Raw genomic sequence first — 21,050 nt, 5'->3', positions numbered from 1 at the left:
TGATGGTGGAAGGGGAAGGAGGCACCATCTTTGTAAGGCTGGAGAAGAGAGAAAAGTGTGTGTGAAGGAGGAACTGTCAAGCACTTATAAAGCCATCAGATCTCATGCAAACTCACTCTCATGAGAATAGCATAGGGGAAATCGTCCCCATGATCCAGTCACCTCCCTCTCTTGACACATGGGGATTACAGGTGCCTCCCTTGACAGGTGGGGATTACAATTCGAGATGAAATTTGGGTGGGGACACAGAGCTAAACCGTATCATTCTCCACCGGCCCTTCCCAAATCTCATGCCTTTTCAGATTTCAAAACCAATCATGCCTTCCCAACAGTCCCCCAGAGGCTTAATTCATTCCAGCATTAACCCAAAAGTCCAAGTCCAAAGTCTCATCTGAGACAAGGCAAGACCCTTCTGCCTAGGAGCCTGTAAAATCAAAAGCAAGTTAGTTACTTCCAAGATACAGTGGGGGTACAGGCAGTTGGATAAATTGGCCAAAACAGAAGGGCTACAGGCCCCATGCAAGTCCAAAATTCAGTGGAGCAGTCATTCAATCTTAAAGCTCCAAAATGATTGCCTTTGACTCCATGTCTCACATCCAGGTCATGCTGATGCAAGCAGCAAGGTCCCATGGCCTTGGGCAGCTCCACCCCTGTGGTTTTGCAGGGCACAGCCCCCTTCCTGGCTGCTTTCACAGGCTGGCATTGAGTGTCTGTGGCTTTTCCAGGTGCATGGTGCAAGCCAGGTGGATCTACCATTCTGGGGTCTGGAGGATGGTGGCCGTCTTCTCACAGTTCCACTAGGCAGTGCCCCAATGGCAACTCTGTGTGAGGGCTGCAACCCCACATTTCCCTTCCACATTGCCCTAGCAGAAGTTCTTCATGGGATCTCCACCCCTGCAGTAGACTTCTGCCTGGACATCCAGGCATTTCCATACATACTCTGAAATCTAGGTTCCCAAACCTCAATTCTTGTCTCCTGTGCACCCACAGGCCCAACACCATGTGGAAGCTGCCAAGGCTTGGGGCTTGCACCCTCTGAAGCAATGGCCTGAGCTGTACCTTGGCCCCTTTTAGCCATGGCTTAAGCTGGAGGGGTTGGAACGTAGGACACCAAGTCCAGAGGCTGCACAGAGCAGGCGGGCCCTAGGCCTGCCCACAAAACCATTTTTCCCTGTTAGGCCTCCAGGCCTGTGATGGGAGGGACTGTGGTGAAGGTCTCTGACATGCCCTGGAGCCATTTTCCTCATTGTCTTGGTGATTAACATTTGGCTTCTCATTACTTATGCAAATTTGTGCAGCTGGCTTGAATTTCTCCCAAGAAAATGGTTCTTTTATTTTCTACCCCATCATCAGGATGCAAATATTCAAAACTTTTATGCTTTGCTTCCTTTTTAAACATAAGTTCCTATTTCAGATCATTTCTCTCAAGTTCAAAGTTCCCCAGATCCTAAAGGCAGGGGTAAAATGCTGCCAGTTTCTTTGCTAAAGCATAGCAAGAGTGACATTTGCTCCAGTTCCCAATAAGTTCCTTATTTCCATCTGAGACCACTTCAGACTGAACTTCATTGTCAACATCTCTATCAACATTTTGGTCAAAACCATTCAACAAGTCTCTAGGAAGTTCTAAACTTTCCCACATCTTCCTGTCTTCTGAGCCCTCCAAACTGTTCCAACCTCTGCCTGCTACCCAGTTCAAAAGTTACTTCCACATTTTTTGATATCTTTACAGCAGTGTCCCACTCTCTGCAGTACTAATTTACTTGCCTAAAAATGCTGCAAATAGTACTCACACAATAGTGCAGAGATAGGCAATCATTTGTACTAGTTTAAATAACTCTATATGCCAAGCAAAAACCCAGGTGTTTTCTATCATTCTTTGCTTGCTGGCTTTTGGTCCTTACACTTGTTGCCTCATGGTTGCAAAATGGCTGTTTTGTCTCCAGACATTACATCAACATTTGAAGGAGGAAGAAGGGTTAGTGTCTGAGCCACTGACTCTGCTGATAAAAGGACAGAGAAAGCTCTCCCAAAAGCCCTCAACAGATTTCTGTTTGTCTCATTGGTCAGAACTATCTTACTTGACCACTAATGGTTACAGAGGAGAGCAGTGATGCAGGATTTTTCTCGGTCCCTTTGCCAGTCAGGGACCTCTTGCTGGTGATGCTGGAGGCCTTGCTTGGGGCACACTACCTGTCCCTGGAGGTGCCTCACCCAATCGGCCCCCCTGGGCCAGGTCTGGCTTGTATACCAGTTCCTGAGTTCTTGTCCCACGCCCAGAATGAATGAGGCTGTGCTGAACTCTGAAGGGTGAGGGTGATGGAGAAGAATTTTTTTGACCAATGAAACAGCTTTCAGTGGGGAGGGGATGCAGGGGTGGTCTCCCTACCAGAAGGTGGGAAAGTCCCCCATGTGGCTGGGTCTGGGGCTTTTTATGGACTCAGAATGGGGAGTATGTGTTGATTGGTTTATGAGTATGCAAAAAAGGTTAAAGCAAAGACTCTACTCAAAGGTGGGCATGACAGTGTAGAAAATCAGTTAGGAAAGGACAGGTATATGTAAAATAGGTGAAGGGTGGGGATCAATCAGAGGAAAGCACACCAAACAGGAAGACAAGTTCTCAATCTGGTCCAAGGATTTAAGTTGTAGCTTGGCTTTCAGGCTTTAAACTGTCTTCAGCTTGGAGGCGGGATTTCACCGGGGACCCGCCCCATCTGCCTAGGCATTTGGCTGCCTCCTCCTGCCCTTAGTAGGAAAGTGAGTGTTTCATTTTCTCAATTTATCTGTGGATGTGGACAAAGGGGAAAGGGGTAGGGAATAGGGGGTTGTAGTCAGCCTCCAACAGATTATTACCACTGAAATTGTGCCCTAAAGGATTAAAGAAGTCAGTAACTAACAGAAATTCTTGAGTTTGCAAGGTAAGAAACAACTTGCTCAAATGCTGAAACTCCCTCTGCTTGTGAGATAAAACTAGCAGAAATCAGTTGGAACCACCATGGCCAACTGGAGTTTGCACACAGTGAGCTTGGTGAAGTCACGGCCCGAATTTCTACCACGTGTTTCATATTAACCCCTTGAAATTTTCTCATGGGACCCCTGAGGCAACATGAAGAGATAACTGTGCAAACCTGAGGATTTTCTAGGCCTCCCCTTTCCTTTCACTAATCACCTACAATCCCAATATCCACCCCCTAAACCTTTTCTAATAAAATTATGCCCTGCCTTAAAGCCATCTCAGGGAGACAGGTTTGAGCTTGACCCCTGTTGCAATAGAAAGCTTTTCTTTTGTCAAAAACCCAGAGTCATAGCACTGGCTTCTAGTGCATCAGGCAGCAATCACTTTTTGCTTGATAACACCATTTTTCATAAGTACCTGAAACTGGATTCACTAATTATGTCAGCTAATGTTGACATTGATAGAGGTAAACGACTCATTTCTTATTTATAAATCTGCAACTGTTGACAAGAAAAGCCATTGGCTTGGTTATAACTTTTGAAATGTGCTGCAATTAGCCAGGTGTGGTGGCTCATGCCTGTAATTCCGGCACTTTGGGAGGCCGAGGCAGGCGGATCACGAGGTCAGGAGATCGAGACCACCCTGGCTAACACGGTGAAACCCCGTCTCTACTAAAAATACAAAAAATTAGCTGGGCATGGTGGCGGGCACCTGTAGTCCCAGCTCCTAGGGAGGCTGAGACAGGAGAATGGCGTGAACCCAGGAGGCGGAGCTTGCAGTGAGCCGAGATCCCGCCACTGCACTCCAGCCTGGGCGACAGAGCGAGACTCCGTCTCAAAAAAAAAAAAAAAAAAACATAATGATAATAATAATAATAAAAAATAGAAAGAAATGTGCTGCAATCACAAAATTTCCCAGAACTTTATCTTATATGACCGTTTTCCTCCAGCTCATGGACAGCTATGTCTGAATCAACAGCAGTCCATAGGGCACTGCCCGAGGTATCAGGTGATGTCTAAAAGGATTCAATAGGAGGAGCAGGCATCTGGGAATATACCAAAGGAAATAAAGTCAACACCTAGTAACAATATCTGCACTCCCAAGTTCAATGCAGCATTATTCACAATAGCCAGGATATGGAAACGACTTCTGTCTGTCAACAGATGAATAGATAAAGATTTGGCATACTGTATACACACAATGGGATACTATTCAGCCTTCAAAAAAGCATAAAGGCCAGGCATGGTGGCTCATGTCTTAATCCCAGCACTCCGGGAGGCTGAGGTGGGCAGATCACTTGAGCTCAGGAGTTTGAGACCAGCCTGGGCACCATGGTGAAACCCTGTCTCTACAAAAAAGTACAAAAAAGTTGGCCAGGTGTCATGGCATGCATCTGTAGTCCCAACTACCAGGGAGGCAGAGGTGGGTGGATCACTTAAGCCAGGGAGGTCAAGACTGCAGTGAGCCATGATTGTGCCACTGCACTCCAGCCTGGGTGACAAAGTGAGACCCTGTCTCACAAAAAAAAAAAAAAAAAAAGCGGTGTGGAACTGTGCCGCTTGCTACAACATGGATGACTGGAAGACATTATGCTAAATGAAACAAGGCAGATACAGAAAGGAAAATACTGCATGACCTCATTTATATGTGGAATCTTTTTTTTTTTTAAAGTGAATATACAGAGATAGAGAATACAACAGTGGTTACCAGGAGTTGAGGAGGAGAGCAGGGAGGAGATGTAGGTCAAATGATACAAAGCAGCAGATATATACGATGAACAAGTCTAGAGATCCAGCGTACAACATGAGGACTATACTTAAAAATGTCACATTGCACTTGGGATTTTTGCTAAAAGAGTAGACTTTACGTGTCCTTGCCACCTAAATGAGTAACTGTGAGATGATGGATATGTTAATTTTCTTGACTACCATAATCATTTTACTATCTTCATATCAAAATATCATGCTGTACACCTTATATAAATACAATAAAAATTATTATTAAAAAAGAAAGAACAGGCTGAGAATGGTGGCTTATGCCTGTAATCCCAACACTTTGGGAAGTTGAGGTAGGAGGATCACTTGAGACCAGTAGTTCAAGATCAGCCTGGGCAACATAGCAAGACCCTATCTCTACAAAAAATAAAAATAAAAAAATTAGCCAGATATGGTAGCATGCACCTGTAGTCCTAGTTACTCTGGAGACTGAGGCAGGAGGATTCTTTGAGACATGATCATGCCACTGCACTCCAGTTTGGAGGACAGAGCAAGACCCCAACTCTAAAACAACACACAAAAATACAGCCATTTCTCCTGGGTGAAATGGGGGAGCTCAGACTATTTTGTTTTATTTGTCAGGAGTCTAAAGCCCATGTGAGCCAACTTAAGAAAATTCTGTTTGTATTTGAGTGTTCTTTATTGGAAAGAAATGGACTTTTCCCTAATGAGCCCATTTTACAAATCGAGAGCTCCAAATGCCCGGTTCCAGCCCCCATGATATAGATGGGCAGCAATGAGGACCAGAAATGCTGGGAAGTGTCCTTGTCATGCAAGGAAAACTTGGAACTTCAAGGATCCATCATGGGATGCAGGACAGTAGGCTCCACCCCTCTTCCTGCTTTCCAGTAAATGATGTTCAGGGCTCACATGCCTCTTCCAAGGCATGATGTGGGGTTGCAGTTCTGATCCCAGCAGAGAACAAGGCTCCTGTGAAACAATTAGTTTTGGCTCAGAGGCAAAAAATGGAAACCCCATTCCTGTATTTACCCTTCATTCTTTCCTTACCTCATACAGCTGGTTCCAGGTTTGATTGCATCATATACATAAATAAATAATCTGCTTTCCTGGTTTGGTTTAGTTTTGCTGGAGAGAGGAGTTTATGTGTTCATCCCATGACTAGCTGGGTGGTCAAGAGATTGGAAAGTAGGAGTTCTAGTTTAGACCAAGTCTCATCTCAGAAACCACAGAGTAGAACTGATCCCAAACGTCATCATCCCTGTAGGGAAAAGAAAGAGAGATCAGACTGTTACTGTGTCTATATAGAAAGGGAAGACATAAGAGACTCCATTTTGAAAAAGAGCTATACTTTAAACAATTGCTTTGCTGAGATGTTGTTAATTTGTAGCTTTGCCCCAGCCACTTTGACCCAACCTGGAGCTCACAAAAACATGTGTTGTATAAAATCAAGGTTTAAGGGATCTAGGGCTGTGTCAAAGTGGCTGGGGCAAAGCTACAAATTAACAACATCTCAGCAAAGCAATTGTTTAAAGTACAGCTCTTTTTCAAAATGGAGTCTCTTATGTCTTCCCTTTCTATATAGACACAGTAACAGTCTGATCTCTCTTTTTTTTCCCTACATATCCCAATAGCACCTGCCTGACTAATACATCATGCTCTGCTGACTCCATATGTGGCTGGTTTCCTGGATCCGATTCTGACTGATGGTATCTGTTCTCACGCTGCTAATAAAGACATACCAGAGACTGGGTAATTTATAAAGAAAAAGAGGTTTAATGGACTTATGTGTTCCACGTGGCTGGGGAGGCCTCACAATCATGGTGGAAGGTGAAGGAGGAGCAAAAGCACATCTTACATGGTGGCTGGCAAAAGAGAGAAAGCATGTTCAGGGGAACTCCCCTTTATAAAACCATCAGATCTCATGAGACTTATGCACTATCACAAGAACAGCATCAGAAAGATCCACCCTCATGATTCAATTACCTCCCACTGGGTCCCTCCCATGACACATGGGAATTATGGGAGCTACAATTGGAGATTTGGGTGGGGACACAGCCAAACCATATCAGATGGCTTATTTGGTTTCTATGTAGAACCTCTGCTTTTCATTCAACAGTCTTCATTTAGCCACAGATAAGCTCTGTCCCTAACTTCCACTGATGGAATGTACACATAAGAAACTTCCACTGATGGAATGAACACAGAAGGTGCCTACTGGGAAGAAAACTGGCCTGAATCTGAGCTGGGTCAAATGTCTGCAGTCAGTTTGAATGGCTGCTCCTTATGGGAATAATTTACATTCTCAATAAAATTCTCTAGCAATTTTCTGATTGATTTTAATGAGCTTTAAAGCCTTACGTAGAAGATCCCCCAGCTGATAGTCAGCCTTGGGCATGGATTAAGGGCTTTTAACCAATCTTGCAACAAGTTTAAGCAGATATTCTTTATTGGGTCCAATCTAACCAAAATTATTTTCTTATGTTCTCCCCAGTAACGTGTCATTATTAAGAGAAGTTTGGCTTGCTTAGAGGCCAAATTTAGAGGGTCCTGAAATTTTATTTTCTTTTACACCACTTTCCAGCATGTTACCTGATCAGTTGTTTATTATCTTTGCTGTTGAATGGAGTGATCATTCCAAGGGCCCGAGGCAGGAGGCCCAGGCACAGTGGAAACTCTCCCAAAGACCAGGATCTTTGTTTTGTTCCCTGACATATGCTGAGCACCAGGAATAGTGAGTGAATGAAACAAATTGTGAGGCTTTAAAGAGCCGAAATATTTAAACACTGGGCACAAGGTTGTTGCTTAATCAGTGCTAGATCCTTACCTCCCCCTTGTGTCCAGGTGGACTTGTTACTGCAGTTAAACCACTTGCTGATCCTCAAACAACTAGTTAGTGGCACAGCCAGGCCTAGGACCCCAGTCTCTACTGTTCCAACTAACCCATTCGCAGGCAGGAGCACTTTGAATGGTCTCTTATTTTAAAAAAATTAAATTAAAATTGTCTATTTATTTAGAGACAGAGTCTTACTCTGTAGCCCAGGCTCGAGTGCAGTGGTGCAATCATAGCTCACTGTAACCTCCATCTCCTGGCCTCAAAAAGTGTTTGAATTACAGATGCGAGGCACTGTACCTGGCCCGAATGTTCTGTTCAGACAAAGCCACCTCTAAGTCGCTGTGGGGCCCCAGACAAGTGATTTTTGAGGAGTCCCTATCTATAGGAACAAAGTAATTAAAAAAATGTATTTCAGAATTTACAGGCCCATGTGAGATATGATTTTTTTAAATGAAGATTTAGAGTAATGGGTAAAAAAGAGGTATTTGTGTGTTTGTTGATTGTTCAGTCAGTGAATGTACAGCTTCTGCCTCATATCCAGGCACCATCTCTTCCTGCTCTTTGTTGTTAAATGTTCCATTCCTGGGTAATTTCATGTCTGCCATCGTGGATATGCCGTGGCTCCTTGAACCTGCTTGTGTTGAAGCAGGATCTTCCTTCCTGTCCCTTCAGTGCCCTAATACCATGTATTTAAGGCTGGACACATCACCACTCCCAACCTGCCTCACCCACTGCGTCACTTGTGATCACTGGCTTCTGGCGACTCTCACCAAGGTCTCTGTCATGCCCTGTTATAATGACTACAAAAGCAAGTCTTACCTATAGGAAAATAAGAATTATAACCCTTTTACTGGTCATGTGAAACTTACCATTTGCAATTTGTACAGCATAAACACAGAACAGCACATCTTTCAATGCCTGCATCCTGAAGGCATTTTGTTTGTGTCTTTCAATCTGGCTGTGCTATTGTTGGTGTTTAACAGTCTCCCCAGCTACACTGGAAACTTCCAGAAGGCACTTTTCACTTGCTTGTGTGTTTTCCCCAGTGTCTATTAGAGGCCTTTGCACAGGGTAGGCTCTTTGGAGCAGCTGAAGGTCACACATCCCATGAGCGGGCAGCAGGGTCAGAAGTGGCCCCCGTGTTGCCTAAGCAAGACTCTCCCCTGCCCTCTGCCCTCTGCACCTCCGGCCTGCATGTCCCTGTGGCCTCTTGGGGGTACATCTCCCGGGGCTGGGTCAGAAGGCCTGGGTGGTTGGCCTCAGGCTGTCACACACCTAGGGAGATGCTCCCGTTTCTGGGAACCTTGGCCCCGACTCCTGCAAACTTCGGTAAATGTGTAACTCGACCCTGCACCGGCTCACTCTGTTCAGCAGTGAAACTCTGCATCGATCACTAAGACTTCCTGGAAGAGGTCCCAGCGTGAGTGTCGCTTCTGGCATCTGTCCTTCTGGCCAGCCTGTGGTCTGGCCAAGTGATGTAACCCTCCTCTCCAGCCTGTGCACAGGCAGCCTGGGAACAGCTCCATCCCCACCCCTCAGCTATAAATAGGGCATCGTGACCCGGCCGGGGGAAGAAGCTGCCGTTGTTCTGGGTACTACAGCAGAAGGTAAGCCGGGGGCCCCCTCAGCTCCTTCTCGGTCTTGTCTCTCTCAGATGTAACTGAGCTGTGGGCTAGGAGGAAAAGGCCGGGAGGAGGCACGGTGATGACTGAAAAACCTCTCCCCTCTCATAAGACCAGTCATCCGGACGCGGGCTTTCCCCCACTCGGTGCCCACCTGGGGTCTTACAGGAGGAGCTGCTCCTCCTCAGCAATAGGACAAGATGGTCAGGTCTTCCTGCTTCCGCTGAGAAAAGTTAGGGTCCTCAGGAACGGAGCAGACTGGTACAGGAACAGAGTCATCATGGCCAAGAGTCCACCGGGTCCTCTTGCCATCAGGAGGAATAGCAGGGCTTGTGCAGGAATTGGGGCTGGAGGGAAGGGCCGGGCTCGGTCAGTCTCCAGCTGGGATCCCCAGAGTGGTCACCCTACCCCTCCCTCGAGACAGACTGCCTGACTGTGTGTCATCAGGCTGGTCACCATCTCCCTGAACCTCGATTTGCTCACCTATAAAATGGAACTAATAACGATGCCTGGGCTCCCTGTCTCAGGGGCTCTGGTATAGCTGAAGAGAACTAATATAACATGAAAGTGCTTTCTAAGCTTTGGGATAAGCTAAAAGGCAGATTCCAATTTTATTCGAGGGCAGCGTAGATTGGTGCTTCAGCTCGTGGATGACAGAGTCAGGGGGCCTGGTTCTGAGTCCTAGTTCTGTCTCTTCCCAGCTGTGTGACGTTGAACAAGTCACTGGACCTCTCTGTTCCTCTGCAAAACAGCATGAACCAATTCATTAACTACTTCTCCAGGATGCAGTAGGTCCCAGGGACTATCCTAGGAATGTGGGCTGTATTAGTAAACACAACAGCGGGAACCCTGTTCCGGGGCTCACATTCACATCAGAGCAAACAGACAAAGACGCTGGACAGAATAAGTGCATAACTACATGGTACAGAGGGTTATAAGGAGGGAAAAGGGGAGCTGGATGAGAGAGTTGAGAGTGCCCGGTGTGGTGGGGAAAGCTGCAGGGTGAAATACTGCATCAGGGAAACCTCAGGGAAGGTGAGGACTATGGTGAGGTCAGAGGGGTTGATATGAGAACAGTGCCCTGCAAATGGCAGGCACCACAGGAGCATGAGCCGTCATCTTCACCTTTAGCATTCAGCCCGGGAGAAGTAGGGAGACATAGAAGGGGCAGGTGCTGGCCAAGAGGCAGGGGCAGGAGAGGAGAAGGCGGAGGGGCACTCAGGGCGAGGGTGTCAGGCCCGCCACCCCAGAGCACCATTACTCCCAGGACGCGGCTGCGTGCAGACCTGGAACCAGCCTAGGGAGCAGCCGCAGATCACAACTGAGAACAAACGACAGTCTCTGCCTCAAAAATGGCCCATGGAATTGCGTCTCTGGAGACGCTGCCTGAGCAGGAGCAGCACAGTGAGCGGGCTGCATCGACCAGCGCCATCCAAACCCCGAACAGTTGGCGCTTGTCAGGCAGGACTTCCCAGCAGTCGGTTCCCACAGGTTTCCCCTGTTGACCTGATTTGATGTGACTGTCTAGATTAGGTGTGAACTGGTGGCTTAGGCTTCTCTGCACAGAAAGGCCTGCAAGCAGCAGAGAGAGTTTTCTGTTCCATTTTTCCATGTCATGTGGCTCTTCCTGAGAACAGCGGATGGAGTCAAATGCATGGGGAGTGGGGTGAGATGGTAGCTGAGGTCAGAATTTGGCATTTGAATGACTGAAGCAGAACAAAACACACCAGGTACTTCAGCAGCTGCACCGTGTTGAGGGCAGGTGCTGGTTACGGGTCTGGGTGAGGGAAGCCAGCTGCCAATGTAAGAAGAATGACTGGGTATGCTTAGATGAAGCAGAAAAATCTAGGCATCAAGGTGGCCTTGAGTCAGTGATGACACGCTACAGCTCCAAGGAAGCCTGGCCTAGCCCTGGGGGGACAGAAAAGGCCAAGAAGTGACGATATTGCAGTACACCCCCCTCCACAAGAAATGAGTGAGATGTGGTACAAAATGTTAGAATTGAATGAATCAATAGAATAAACGTTCATCCCTTCAATCAAGAAGAGTCAGATGAAATGAATTAGCAGGGCCAGCCCAAGAACCTCTTCTGGGGGTCTCAGGGTAGCTTTCATTTGTAGCAGCTGAGGCTGAAGCCCAGCTGCAAGGCCTTTGAGAGAACGTGGTGCTGGACCCGTGTCTAGGGCAGGGGTTCTAAACCCTGCTTACATATCAGAGTCACCTGAGAATTTTCTATTTTTTTTTTTTTTTTTTTATACGTGGTCCCAGCACAGACTAAGGAATCCAACTATCATTGGGCAAGCCATGCTAGGTATGCATGCCTTTGGGGCTCTGCAGGGGATAGCGCTATGCAGGGATGGTTGAGAGCTGGTTTTGGGGTTGAGACACGTGGGAAATACTTGGACTTTGGGCTGAGCCTGTGGTGCTCAATCCCGGCTGCATGTTGGGACCACAGGGAGATGACAAAACCATCCCCAGCCCTCACCCTAGGGCCCTCGAATGAGCATCTCAGGGGTCTAGGAGGCCTCCACAAAGACCTACTGATTGGCACACACTTGTTTCTCTAGGAAGAGAACTTACAGCTGCAGGCAGGAGCATGTCTTAATCTGCTTGGGCTGCCATAAGTACCACAGACTGGGAGGGTTTAACAACAGAAATGTGTTATCTCACAGTTCTGGAAGCTAGAAGCCTGGGAGCCAGCCATCAGCAGAGTTGGTTTCCTCTGGGTCCTCTATCCTTGGCTTGTAGATGGCCGTCTTCTCTCTGTGTCCCCACATGGTCTTCCCTCTGTGTCCCCACATGGTCTTCCCTCTGTGTGTGTCCATGTCCTCATCTCCTCTTCTCATAAGGACACAGGTCATATTAGATCAGGGCTCACCCTCATGGCCTCATTTTAACTTAATCATCTCTTTAAAGATCCTGTCTCCAAATAATGGTCACATTCTGAGGTCCTGGGGTTGAGGACTTCAACACGGGCATTATGGCCGTTGGGGGAGGTAGGACATAATTCAGCTGATATTGGTGCATTTTGCACTTGGATCATGTAGATATTTTCCATGGAGCTTTGAATCCATTTCTTCTTTTTTTTGTAGACATGAATGGATTTATTCTGGGCTAAATGGTGACAGGGAATATTGAGACAATGAAAGATCTGGTTAGATGGCACTTAAAGGTCAGTTAATAACCACCTTTCACCCTTTGCAAAATGATATTTCAGGGTATGCGGAAGCGAGCACCCCAGTCTGAGATGGCTCCTGCCGGTGTGAGCCTGAGGGCCACCATCCTCTGCCTCCTGGCCTGGGCTGGCCTGGCTGCAGGTGACCGGGTGTACATACACCCCTTCCACCTCGTCATCCACAATGAGAGTACCTGTGAGCAGCTGGCAAAGGCCAATGCCGGGAAGCCCAAAGACCCCACCTTCATACCTGCTCCAATTCAGGCCAAGACATCCCCTGTGGATGAAAAGGCCCTACAGGACCAGCTGGTGCTAGTCGCTGCAAAACTTGACACCGAAGACAAGTTGAGGGCCGCAATGGTCGGGATGCTGGCCAACTTCTTGGGCTTCCGTATATATGGCATGCACAGTGAGCTATGGGGCGTGGTCCATGGGGCCACCGTCCTCTCCCCAACGGCTGTCTTTGGCACCCTGGCCTCTCTCTATCTGGGAGCCTTGGACCACACAGCTGACAGGCTACAGGCAATCCTGGGTGTTCCTTGGAAGGACAAGAACTGCACCTCCCGGCTGGATGCGCACAAGGTCCTGTCTGCCCTGCAGGCTGTACAGGGCCTGCTAGTGGCCCAGGGCAGGGCTGATAGCCAGGCCCAGCTGCTGCTGTCCACGGTGGTGGGCGTGTTCACAGCCCCAGGCCTGCACCTGAAGCAGCCGTTTGTGCAGGGCCTGGCTCTCTATACCCCTGTGGTCCTCCCACGCTCTCTGGACTTCACAGAACTGGATGTTGCTGCTGAGAAGATTGACAGGTTCATGCAGGCTGTGACAGGATGGAAGACTGGCTGCTCCCTGATGGGAGCCAGTGTGGACAGCACCCTGGCTTTCAACACCTACGTCCACTTCCAAGGTAAGGCAAACCTCTCTGCTGGCTCTGGCCCTAGGACTTAGTATCCAATGTGTAGCTGAGATCAGCCAGTCAGGCCTTGGAGATGGGCAGGGGGCAGCCCTGCGGACATACCTGGTGACCACCCTTGAGAAGTGGGGAAGTGGCTGCTCCGCTGGGTCCCTGGATGGGCCGTCCACCTCCTGGACCTGCTGCCCTACTATGTGCACGACTATACAACATCCTTTTTCTTACATCATTTAATCCCCTTATGATGTGGTGAAGAGGTATTTGTGCCTTTGTTTACCAGTGAAGAAATAGAGACTCGGAGAAACAAAGTGCCTTGCTCAAGATGGCACAGCCACCAGTGGGGGTCCTGGGATTGAAACCCACATCTCCTGGCCCCACAGCCCAGTTCTACACTCAGAAGGGTCAGGTTCATATCTCTTGAGAAGGTCAGGAACTGGGGTCCCTGGCCCATGCAGAAATAAGCAATTGGCTTGCTTAAATCCCTTTCATGTTAGGAGGGGCATTACTGAAAACCCTCTACTACAAAGATTGTTGATTTTTTTTTTTTTTTTTATTGAGACAGGGTCTTGTTCTGTCACCCAGGCTGCAGTGTAGTGGTGCCATCATTGCTCACTGTAGCCTTGAACTCCTGGCCTCAAGCGATCCTCCCACCTCTGCCTTCCAAAGTGTTGGGATTAAAGGTGTGAGCCACTGCACCCAGCCACAGATTGCTTAAAGCATTCATTTAACAAATACTTGTTGAGGATTTGCTACTTGTAAGACTTTAAGCCTGGCATCTCAGAGGAGGCCAGAGGAGGGCTGTATAGGCCCTGCCTCCAGGCTTTTAAAGGTCAATGGGCAAATGCCTAGGATTTGGAGCTGCAGGGAAACGTGCTCCACAAGGTAACTCAGGGAAGCCTCGGGGCTCTCAGAGGACAGAGGTCACTGGGGAGCGGAGAGCAGGCCTTGCCTGGCAGTGAGGGCAACAGGGCTGGTGAAGCTAGGAGCAAGCATGATGAGCCCAGCCTGCAGAGTTTGGGGCAAGGAACGAGGATGGGGCGGTTGGCTTGGCATGAGTGTTGAACCAGAAAATGGGCCTGGGGAGGGCAGAGCTGGAGACACTTTGAACGCCATGCTTGGTAGGTGTGGGAATGGGGACGCGTTCTGTTCAGAGGTCATCCCGGAAGCCTGCCGTGTGCAGACTGGAGGCAGGGAGGATTGTTTGAAGGTTACGCAAGAGTCCAGGCACACAGTCACGGGAACACGTGCTCAGGGAGCAGCTCGGCAAATCCATGGGTGGGGTGGGGCTGAGGGGTGTGTCTAAGAGACACTGAGGAGGCTCTGTCAAGATGTTAACCTCGTGAGGGACAGAGAGCCAGGCGGGAGGTGAAAGACAAGACTGTGGAGAAAGAGGTTCAGTGGCGCATAGTGATTTTTCTTACCACAACAACCTCCTTGAGGTCTTTCCCTTCGGGTTCAGGGAGAGGTGATAGATGGGGGGATTGCTCAGCCCTGGCACTGACTGGTCACAGGGGCAGAGGCCAGCCCGAGGGTTGCCCGGTTGAGGGTGGCAGCACACTGTGCAGGGCAGAGCAGGGACACATGGACTTAGCCTGCTGTCCCTAGGAGAAGTGCTGGGAGGAGCGCTCACTGAGAAGGAGGGTCCTGCAGAAGGCAAAGGCAAGAAAGCCAGTGGCATCTGAAATGGGTCTCCCTTCGAAAGAGAGCACATCCACCTGACCCAGACCGCAGAGCCAGGCCAGGAGGAAGAGGAGGAAGAATAAAAAAGCCAACCACATCGGGACTCAAAGGAAGCCCAGGATCCTCGCCGGCCTCCACCGCATGCTGCCCTGACCCTGCCCCACTTCCTAACTTTGCTGGCCTCAGTTTCCGTCAAAGGAGGCAGCCACTTCCTGCCCACATGGTCTGTCCAGTGAGGAGATCGGGGGCTGTCTCGGGACCTCTAGGTTTCCCTTTAGCAATGATGTTCTATTTACATGACCTCAGCAGGCAGCTAGATGTGTCCCACTAGAGAGGACCTGAGGATCTGGGGCCTGATGGGCTCCAGGGTACCGTCTGCCCAGTGCTTGCTGTGCTCCTGAGCATGGGGCGCTGGCCCTGGTGGTTTCCATGACACCAGGTCCTGACTTGACCTCGACAGATTTACCTAGCCTCCGGATGAGAATGGTGAGCTGTGCATGTCAGACGAGCAGAGGGAAGACGGCAGCCACTCTCATGTCAAATCCCAGCGTCTTTTGGGAGGCAGCTTCCCTTTTTTAGTTTAGTTTGTTGGAAGAAAAGAATTGTCCCTTTCCCCCCTCTAAACTAAAAGCCTTGCCAGCCCAGGTGGGCAGCACCGAGGTCCCTGCAGGGAACGTGCAAGGGGAACCCTGCAGTTTCCCGCTCACATGCCCTTCCGAGACTGAGTGCTCCGAGGACTGAGGACGAGAAATATGCCAGGTCTGCCACTGCCTTCTTACGAGACCCGGACCCAGGGGAGGCACAGCCATGCCCAGCTCCTGCCTGCCAGTTCTGTCCTCCCAGCTGCCCTACTTTCATGCTGGGACCTCCAATTCAGTACAAAGGGAGACCTCACTGTTTCTGAACCATCTCTACTCAGACTCCCAAGTGCCACGTGCCCAGGGGACTGTTCTGTGACAAACTTATACACAACTTCACCCTATTCTCCTAAGAACAACCGCAGAATAGGCCTTTCAGGATGAGTGGGAGGACAGCCGAGGGCAGGGATGTGCTAGTGTAAGGTCGAGGCAGAGGGTGGGCTGCTGTCATGGAAAGACCCCAGGTAACTGCGTCACACACAAATTTGTGTCCTTCTCCCACAACGGGCTCTCCCGAGTTCTCTGTCATCTGCACGGCCCTGTGAGCAGGAGGGGAAACAGAGGGCTCACCCCTGCCCCCAAGGCCCAGTGTGCAAATCCATTCATCACAACGAGGTTGTGTGAGTCTCCCCAGTAGCAAGGGCTGCTGAGGAATGGAGCCCTCGTTTCCGGGGCCTGCGTGGCCCACTCTGTATTCTATGACTGTGATGGGGGAGGGTGGGGGCCACAGGACAGCTGGTGGGCTCTGCCATGGCTGGGGCTAGACATGGATTAAAAAGTGAGTATGAGCAGGGGCCTCTAGGAGTGGTGGGATAGTGCGGTGGTGGCCACATGTCATTCTACGTGCGTCCAAACCTACAGAATGTAAAACACCAGGAGGGAGACTCAAAGAAAACTATCAACTTTGAGTGCTGAGGACGTGTCAGTGTAGGTTCGTCAGTTGCAACAAATGGGCCACGCTGGTGTGAGATGTTGATCACGGGGGAGGCTGTGTAGTGGGGGACAAGAGTTATATGGGAACTTTCTGTACTTTCTGCTCGATTTTGCTGTGAACCTAAAGTCACTCTAAAAAATAACATCTCTTAAATTTTTTAAAAAGTGAGTGTGTCAAACCACAGCCTTTGGGTCAGGACAGTTCTAGGTTTGAGTTGACCTGGCAGGTACCAGTGGCTTATGTCCCTTAAGGTGACAGATGCAAAACCCCCGGTTTGGTGCCTGGCATGTTGTGTGTCTTGCAGGTGGCGGTTAGGGCTGCCTCAGTGAACTCAAATGGCTGCATTTTACAGGAGAAATATTTGAGCCACACTTGCGGTCCTGTGGCCAGGAGAATGCAGAGTGGCCTGGGGGGGGCCAAGGAAGGAGGCTGAGGCAGGGCGAGGGGCAGGATCTGGGCCTTTGGTGTCTGCCAGCCCTCATTCCTGCCCCTGTCTTGGGTGACTCTTCCCTCCCTGTCTCCTGTCTGGATTTCAGGGAAGATGAAGGGCTTCTCCCTGCTGGCCGAGCCCCAGGAGTTCTGGGTGGACAACAGCACCTCAGTGTCTGTTCCCATGCTCTCTGGCATGGGCACCTTCCAGCACTGGAGTGACATCCAGGACAACTTCTCGGTGACTCAAGTGCCCTTCACTGAGAGCGCCTGCCTGCTGCTGATCCAGCCTCACTATGCCTCTGACCTGGACAAGGTGGAGGGTCTCACTTTCCAGCAAAACTCCCTCAACTGGATGAAGAAACTATCTCCCCGGTAGGAGCCTCCCGGTCTCCCCTGGAATGTGGGAGCCACACTGTCCTGCCCAGGCTGGGGGCGGGGTGGGGAGTAGACACACCTGAGCTGAGCCTTGGGTGCAGAGCAGGGCAGGGCCGCGGTGGCACGGGGCTGGGCAGGCGGCCTGTGTGTCTGTCTACCAGTCCTCTATCCAGCCAGCACCCAGCTCTCCAGTTAGTGTCTGTCTTTCAAGTGCAGGCAAGGTAAAGGAGGAGAGGAAGAATGCTTTTTCTACACTTACACTTGCCTGGTAGTTTTGGAGGGGGAGAAAACATTGCAATCCGCCCTCTGAGAGAGGACCATTTTGGTCCCACACCTGACACACAGCACACCTGTGACATCCAAGAGCTTCTTGGAACTGACTTGCCAGGAGGGTTCGGACTTCGCGTGAGCGGGGGTGGGGCCTTCTCAGGGAGCGTCCCTTGACTCCAGAACGCCCTTGCTGGCGGCTGGCGGCTGGGTGGGGATAGGTGTTGTTAGCTCCTCTTTCCTGCTGCAATTCCTTTCCACAGAGCCCTGGACTCAAACTACACATCACCCCAGATCATCGAGGCCTGGAAATCTGCTCCCAGAGGCAGGCATTGAGTGACACGATGGCTTGACATCAACTCTGGGTGTTTTTTATGTTTTAAAAATTGTGATGGTAAAATATACGTAACAAAATTTGCCATCGTAACCATTTTCGAGTGCACAGTTCAGTGGTACTAGGCCCATTCACACTGTTGTGCAGCCATCACCCCCGTCCATCTCCATTTATCTTCTCAACTTCCCAAACTGAAGCTCTGTCCTGCTGAAACACTAACTCTCCATTTCCCCTTCCCCTTGGCCCCGGCAACCACCACGATGTCCTCGAGGTTCACCCATGTTGTAGCACATGTCAGAATGTCCTTCCTTTTGAAGGCTGAATAATATTCCATTGCATGTGGTTACCACCTTTTGTGTATCCACTCATCCATCGATGGACACGTGGGTTGCTTCCACCTTTGAGCTGCTGTGAATAGTGCAGTGTACCCTGTAAACATGGGTGTACTGTCAGCTCTTATAAGTGCTTGATACATCACTGGAAATGTCCATGGGCTCTGAAGGATGCCAAAAGATGGAAGAGGCTCTATACGAAGATCAATCGAGTTGACATAGCAACGTGTCCAGCACGAGGTTGACACTGTACCCTCCTGCCTCTCTCCTTTTCATGGGTGTCATGTCATCAAGAACACTGCTGTGGCAGTAGTAAGACACAGTGCATTATTTCAGAGAATAGCATTTAAAAATTACCCAAGTAACACACCTTCAATGCAGCCAACCTAAAAACAGAATGCACCAAAGGACAACCATTCCTAGGTCCTCATCGGTAAATCTTCTATGTCCCTCACATAGTATTGCAAATGACATGAAGGATTTTTATTGTAGGTTTTGCTGAAATTTTCCCCAAGGGGGAGGATGACTTAGTTGGGTGATGGGGGGAGCAAACATCCCTGTCGTCAGGGTTGGGTGCAAGGAGCATAAGCCTGCCTGGCCTCTGGGAGAGCCCTCACTGTGTGGCCTGGAGCCTTCCTAACTGTGCATCATCTCCCCAGGACCATCCACCTGACCATGCCCCAACTGGTGCTGCAAGGATCTTATGACCTGCAGGACCTGCTCGCCCAGGCTGAGCTGCCCGCCATTCTGCACACCGAGCTGAACCTGCAAAAATTGAGCAATGACCGCATCAGGGTGGGGGAGGTATGTGTGAGCCTGTGTCTGTGCCTGACCTGGGTTCCAAGTGTGCACAGGGTGGGAGGCATGGATGTAAGGGACACAGAGGAGGCTATGGGTGGGGCCAGCAGGGCAAGAGGGAGCGGAGAGTAGGGCCAAAGGTGGGAGAGAAGTAGCCAGAGCATTCTGGGGCCTTCCAGGTGCAGAGCAGCAAATCCCTCCCCATCCCTGCTGTGCCTCCTCCTGCTAGGTGTGTGTTCCATGGTCCTGCTTGGCCTTGCCTTGCCTCAGGGTCCTCCAGGGTTCCTATAGTGGAGTTGAAACCGGGATGAAGACAGCAAGCACCCCTGGACCTGGTGCCCTGGGCCCAGCCCCTTCTTCAGGGAAATGCTGAGCAGCAGACAGAATGTCCCCCTGCCATGTGGCACCATGCACATCTGCAGCTACCAAGGATGTGCCTTGATGTTCTGGGCCCTGTGCTCAGTGCTGGGGAGAAAGTGGGAGTTCTTACGGGGGCCAGCGGGAAGAGCCCTCTGTGCTAAGTTAGCTAAGCCCTGGCACTGGTGGGCCATGGCCAAGGGAGCCAGGAATTCTGCCTGGGACATCAGGGCAGAATGTGAAGATGGGAGGATGTAAGGGGTGTGTTAGGGAGGAGCCGGCATGTGAGTTTGGCCATTGTGGCCAATTAACGGTCATCTACACACAGACACACCCTTGCCTACACTGAGGGGCAGGCATACACTGTGCATCCTCCTGGCAGGCTGGAAAATGTCCCCCTCCAGGACAGTGCACAGCACAGAGGTCCTGAGCCCACCCCGGCCCTCTAGCCCTCAGCACCCTGGGTCACCCAGTGCGCCCTCAGAATGATCCTGATGTCTGCTGCTTTGCAGGTGCTGAACAGCATTTTTTTTGAGCTTGAAGCGGATGAGAGAGAGCCCACAGAGTCTACCCAACAGCTTAACAAGCCTGAGGTCTTGGAGGTGACCCTGAACCGCCCATTCCTGTTTGCTGTGTATGATCAAAGCGCCACTGCCCTGCACTTCCTGGGCCGCGTGGCCAACCCGCTGAGCACAGCATGAGGCCAGGGCCCCAGAACACAGTGCCTGGCAAGGCCTCTGCCCCTGGCCTTTGAGGCAAAGGCCAGCAGCAGATAACAACCCCGGACAAATCAGCGATGTGTCACCCCCAGTCTCCCACCTTTTCTTCTAATGAGTCGACTTTGAGCTGGAAAGCAGCCGTTTCTCCTTGGTCTAAGTGTGCTGCATGGAGTGAGCAGTAGAAGCCTGCAGCGGCACAAATGCACCTCCCAGTTTGCTGGGTTTATTTTAGAGAATGGGGGTGGGGAGGCAAGAACCAGTGTTTAGCGCGGGACTACTGTTCCAAAAAGAATTCCAACCGACCAGCTTGTTTGTGAAACAAAAAAGTGTTCCCTTTTCAAGTTGAGAACAAAAATTGGGTTTTAAAATTAAAGTATACATTTTTGCATTGCCTTCGGTTTGTATTTAGTGTCTTGAATGTAAGAACATGACCTCCGTGTAGTGTCTGTAATACCTTAGTTTTTTCCACAGATGCTTGTGATTTTTGAACAATACGTGAAAGATGCAAGCACCTGAATTTCTGTTTGAATGCGGAACCATAGCTGGTTATTTCTCCCTTGTGTTAGTAATAAACGTCTTGCCACAATAAGCCTCCAAAAATTTTATCTTTCATTTAGCAGCCAAACAGATGTATACAATTCAGCAGATAGACTGTGCAAACGAAAGTGCTTTCCTGGACTTTGGATGGAATTTCCATGGGAGGTCTGAGCCAGTACTTAGCAGTCCTTTGAAGTTTTAGGTGATGCTTTTCTCTGGACACTTCCATTGGTAAGCAGTGGTGGCCATCTGTGTGATGGACAGGGGGCGGGAAGAGGGTGACAGGGAAGGCCCCATACCCCATGTGGCACCTGGGAAAGGAACCAGGCAGATGGGACTTCTTCCGTCCTGGTGACACAGGGCCAGACTGCTGCTGGTATTGTGCCCCGGGAGTGGAAGGTAGAGAAATAAATCTTCACAA

General features: G+C 49.9%; 1 protein-coding gene across 2 annotated transcripts in view, besides 1 other annotated feature; it reads left to right on the top strand.

Annotated features, from left to right (window-relative positions):
* AGT (angiotensinogen) overlaps window positions 1-20,692 on the top strand; it is a 43,061-nt gene extending 22,369 nt beyond the window's left edge. Inside the window, exons 1-5 of one of the 2 annotated variants that reach the window (NM_001384479.1) lie at window positions 9,093-9,129; window positions 12,362-13,220; window positions 17,015-17,282; window positions 18,878-19,022; window positions 19,886-20,692. In NM_001384479.1, coding sequence (NP_001371408.1) covers window positions 12,392-13,220; window positions 17,015-17,282; window positions 18,878-19,022; window positions 19,886-20,074 — 1,431 coding nt within the window. In that variant the 5' untranslated portion in view covers window positions 9,093-9,129; window positions 12,362-12,391 and the 3' untranslated portion in view covers window positions 20,075-20,692. Of the gene's footprint in view, window positions 1-9,092; window positions 9,130-12,361; window positions 13,221-17,014; window positions 17,283-18,877; window positions 19,023-19,885 lie in introns of those variants that run through there. The other variant, NM_001382817.3, reaches the window with a different exon arrangement.
* Window positions 13,767-14,588: an enhancer, noted in NCBI's record as "H3K4me1 hESC enhancer chr1:230844373-230845194 (GRCh37/hg19 assembly coordinates)". NCBI's record gives its function as "activates a minimal SCP1, AML or CMV promoter by ChIP-STARR-seq in naive H9 embryonic stem cells {active_cell/tissue: H9 hESC(naive)}" and the evidence as "EXISTENCE:reporter gene assay evidence [ECO:0000049][PMID:30033119]".

This window comes from Homo sapiens, chromosome 1 (genome assembly GCF_000001405.40).
Source record: "Homo sapiens chromosome 1, GRCh38.p14 Primary Assembly".
NCBI lineage: Eukaryota > Metazoa > Chordata > Mammalia > Primates > Hominidae > Homo > Homo sapiens.
Note: the sequence above shows the minus strand (reverse complement) of the source record. Positions and strands in the feature narration are given on the sequence as shown.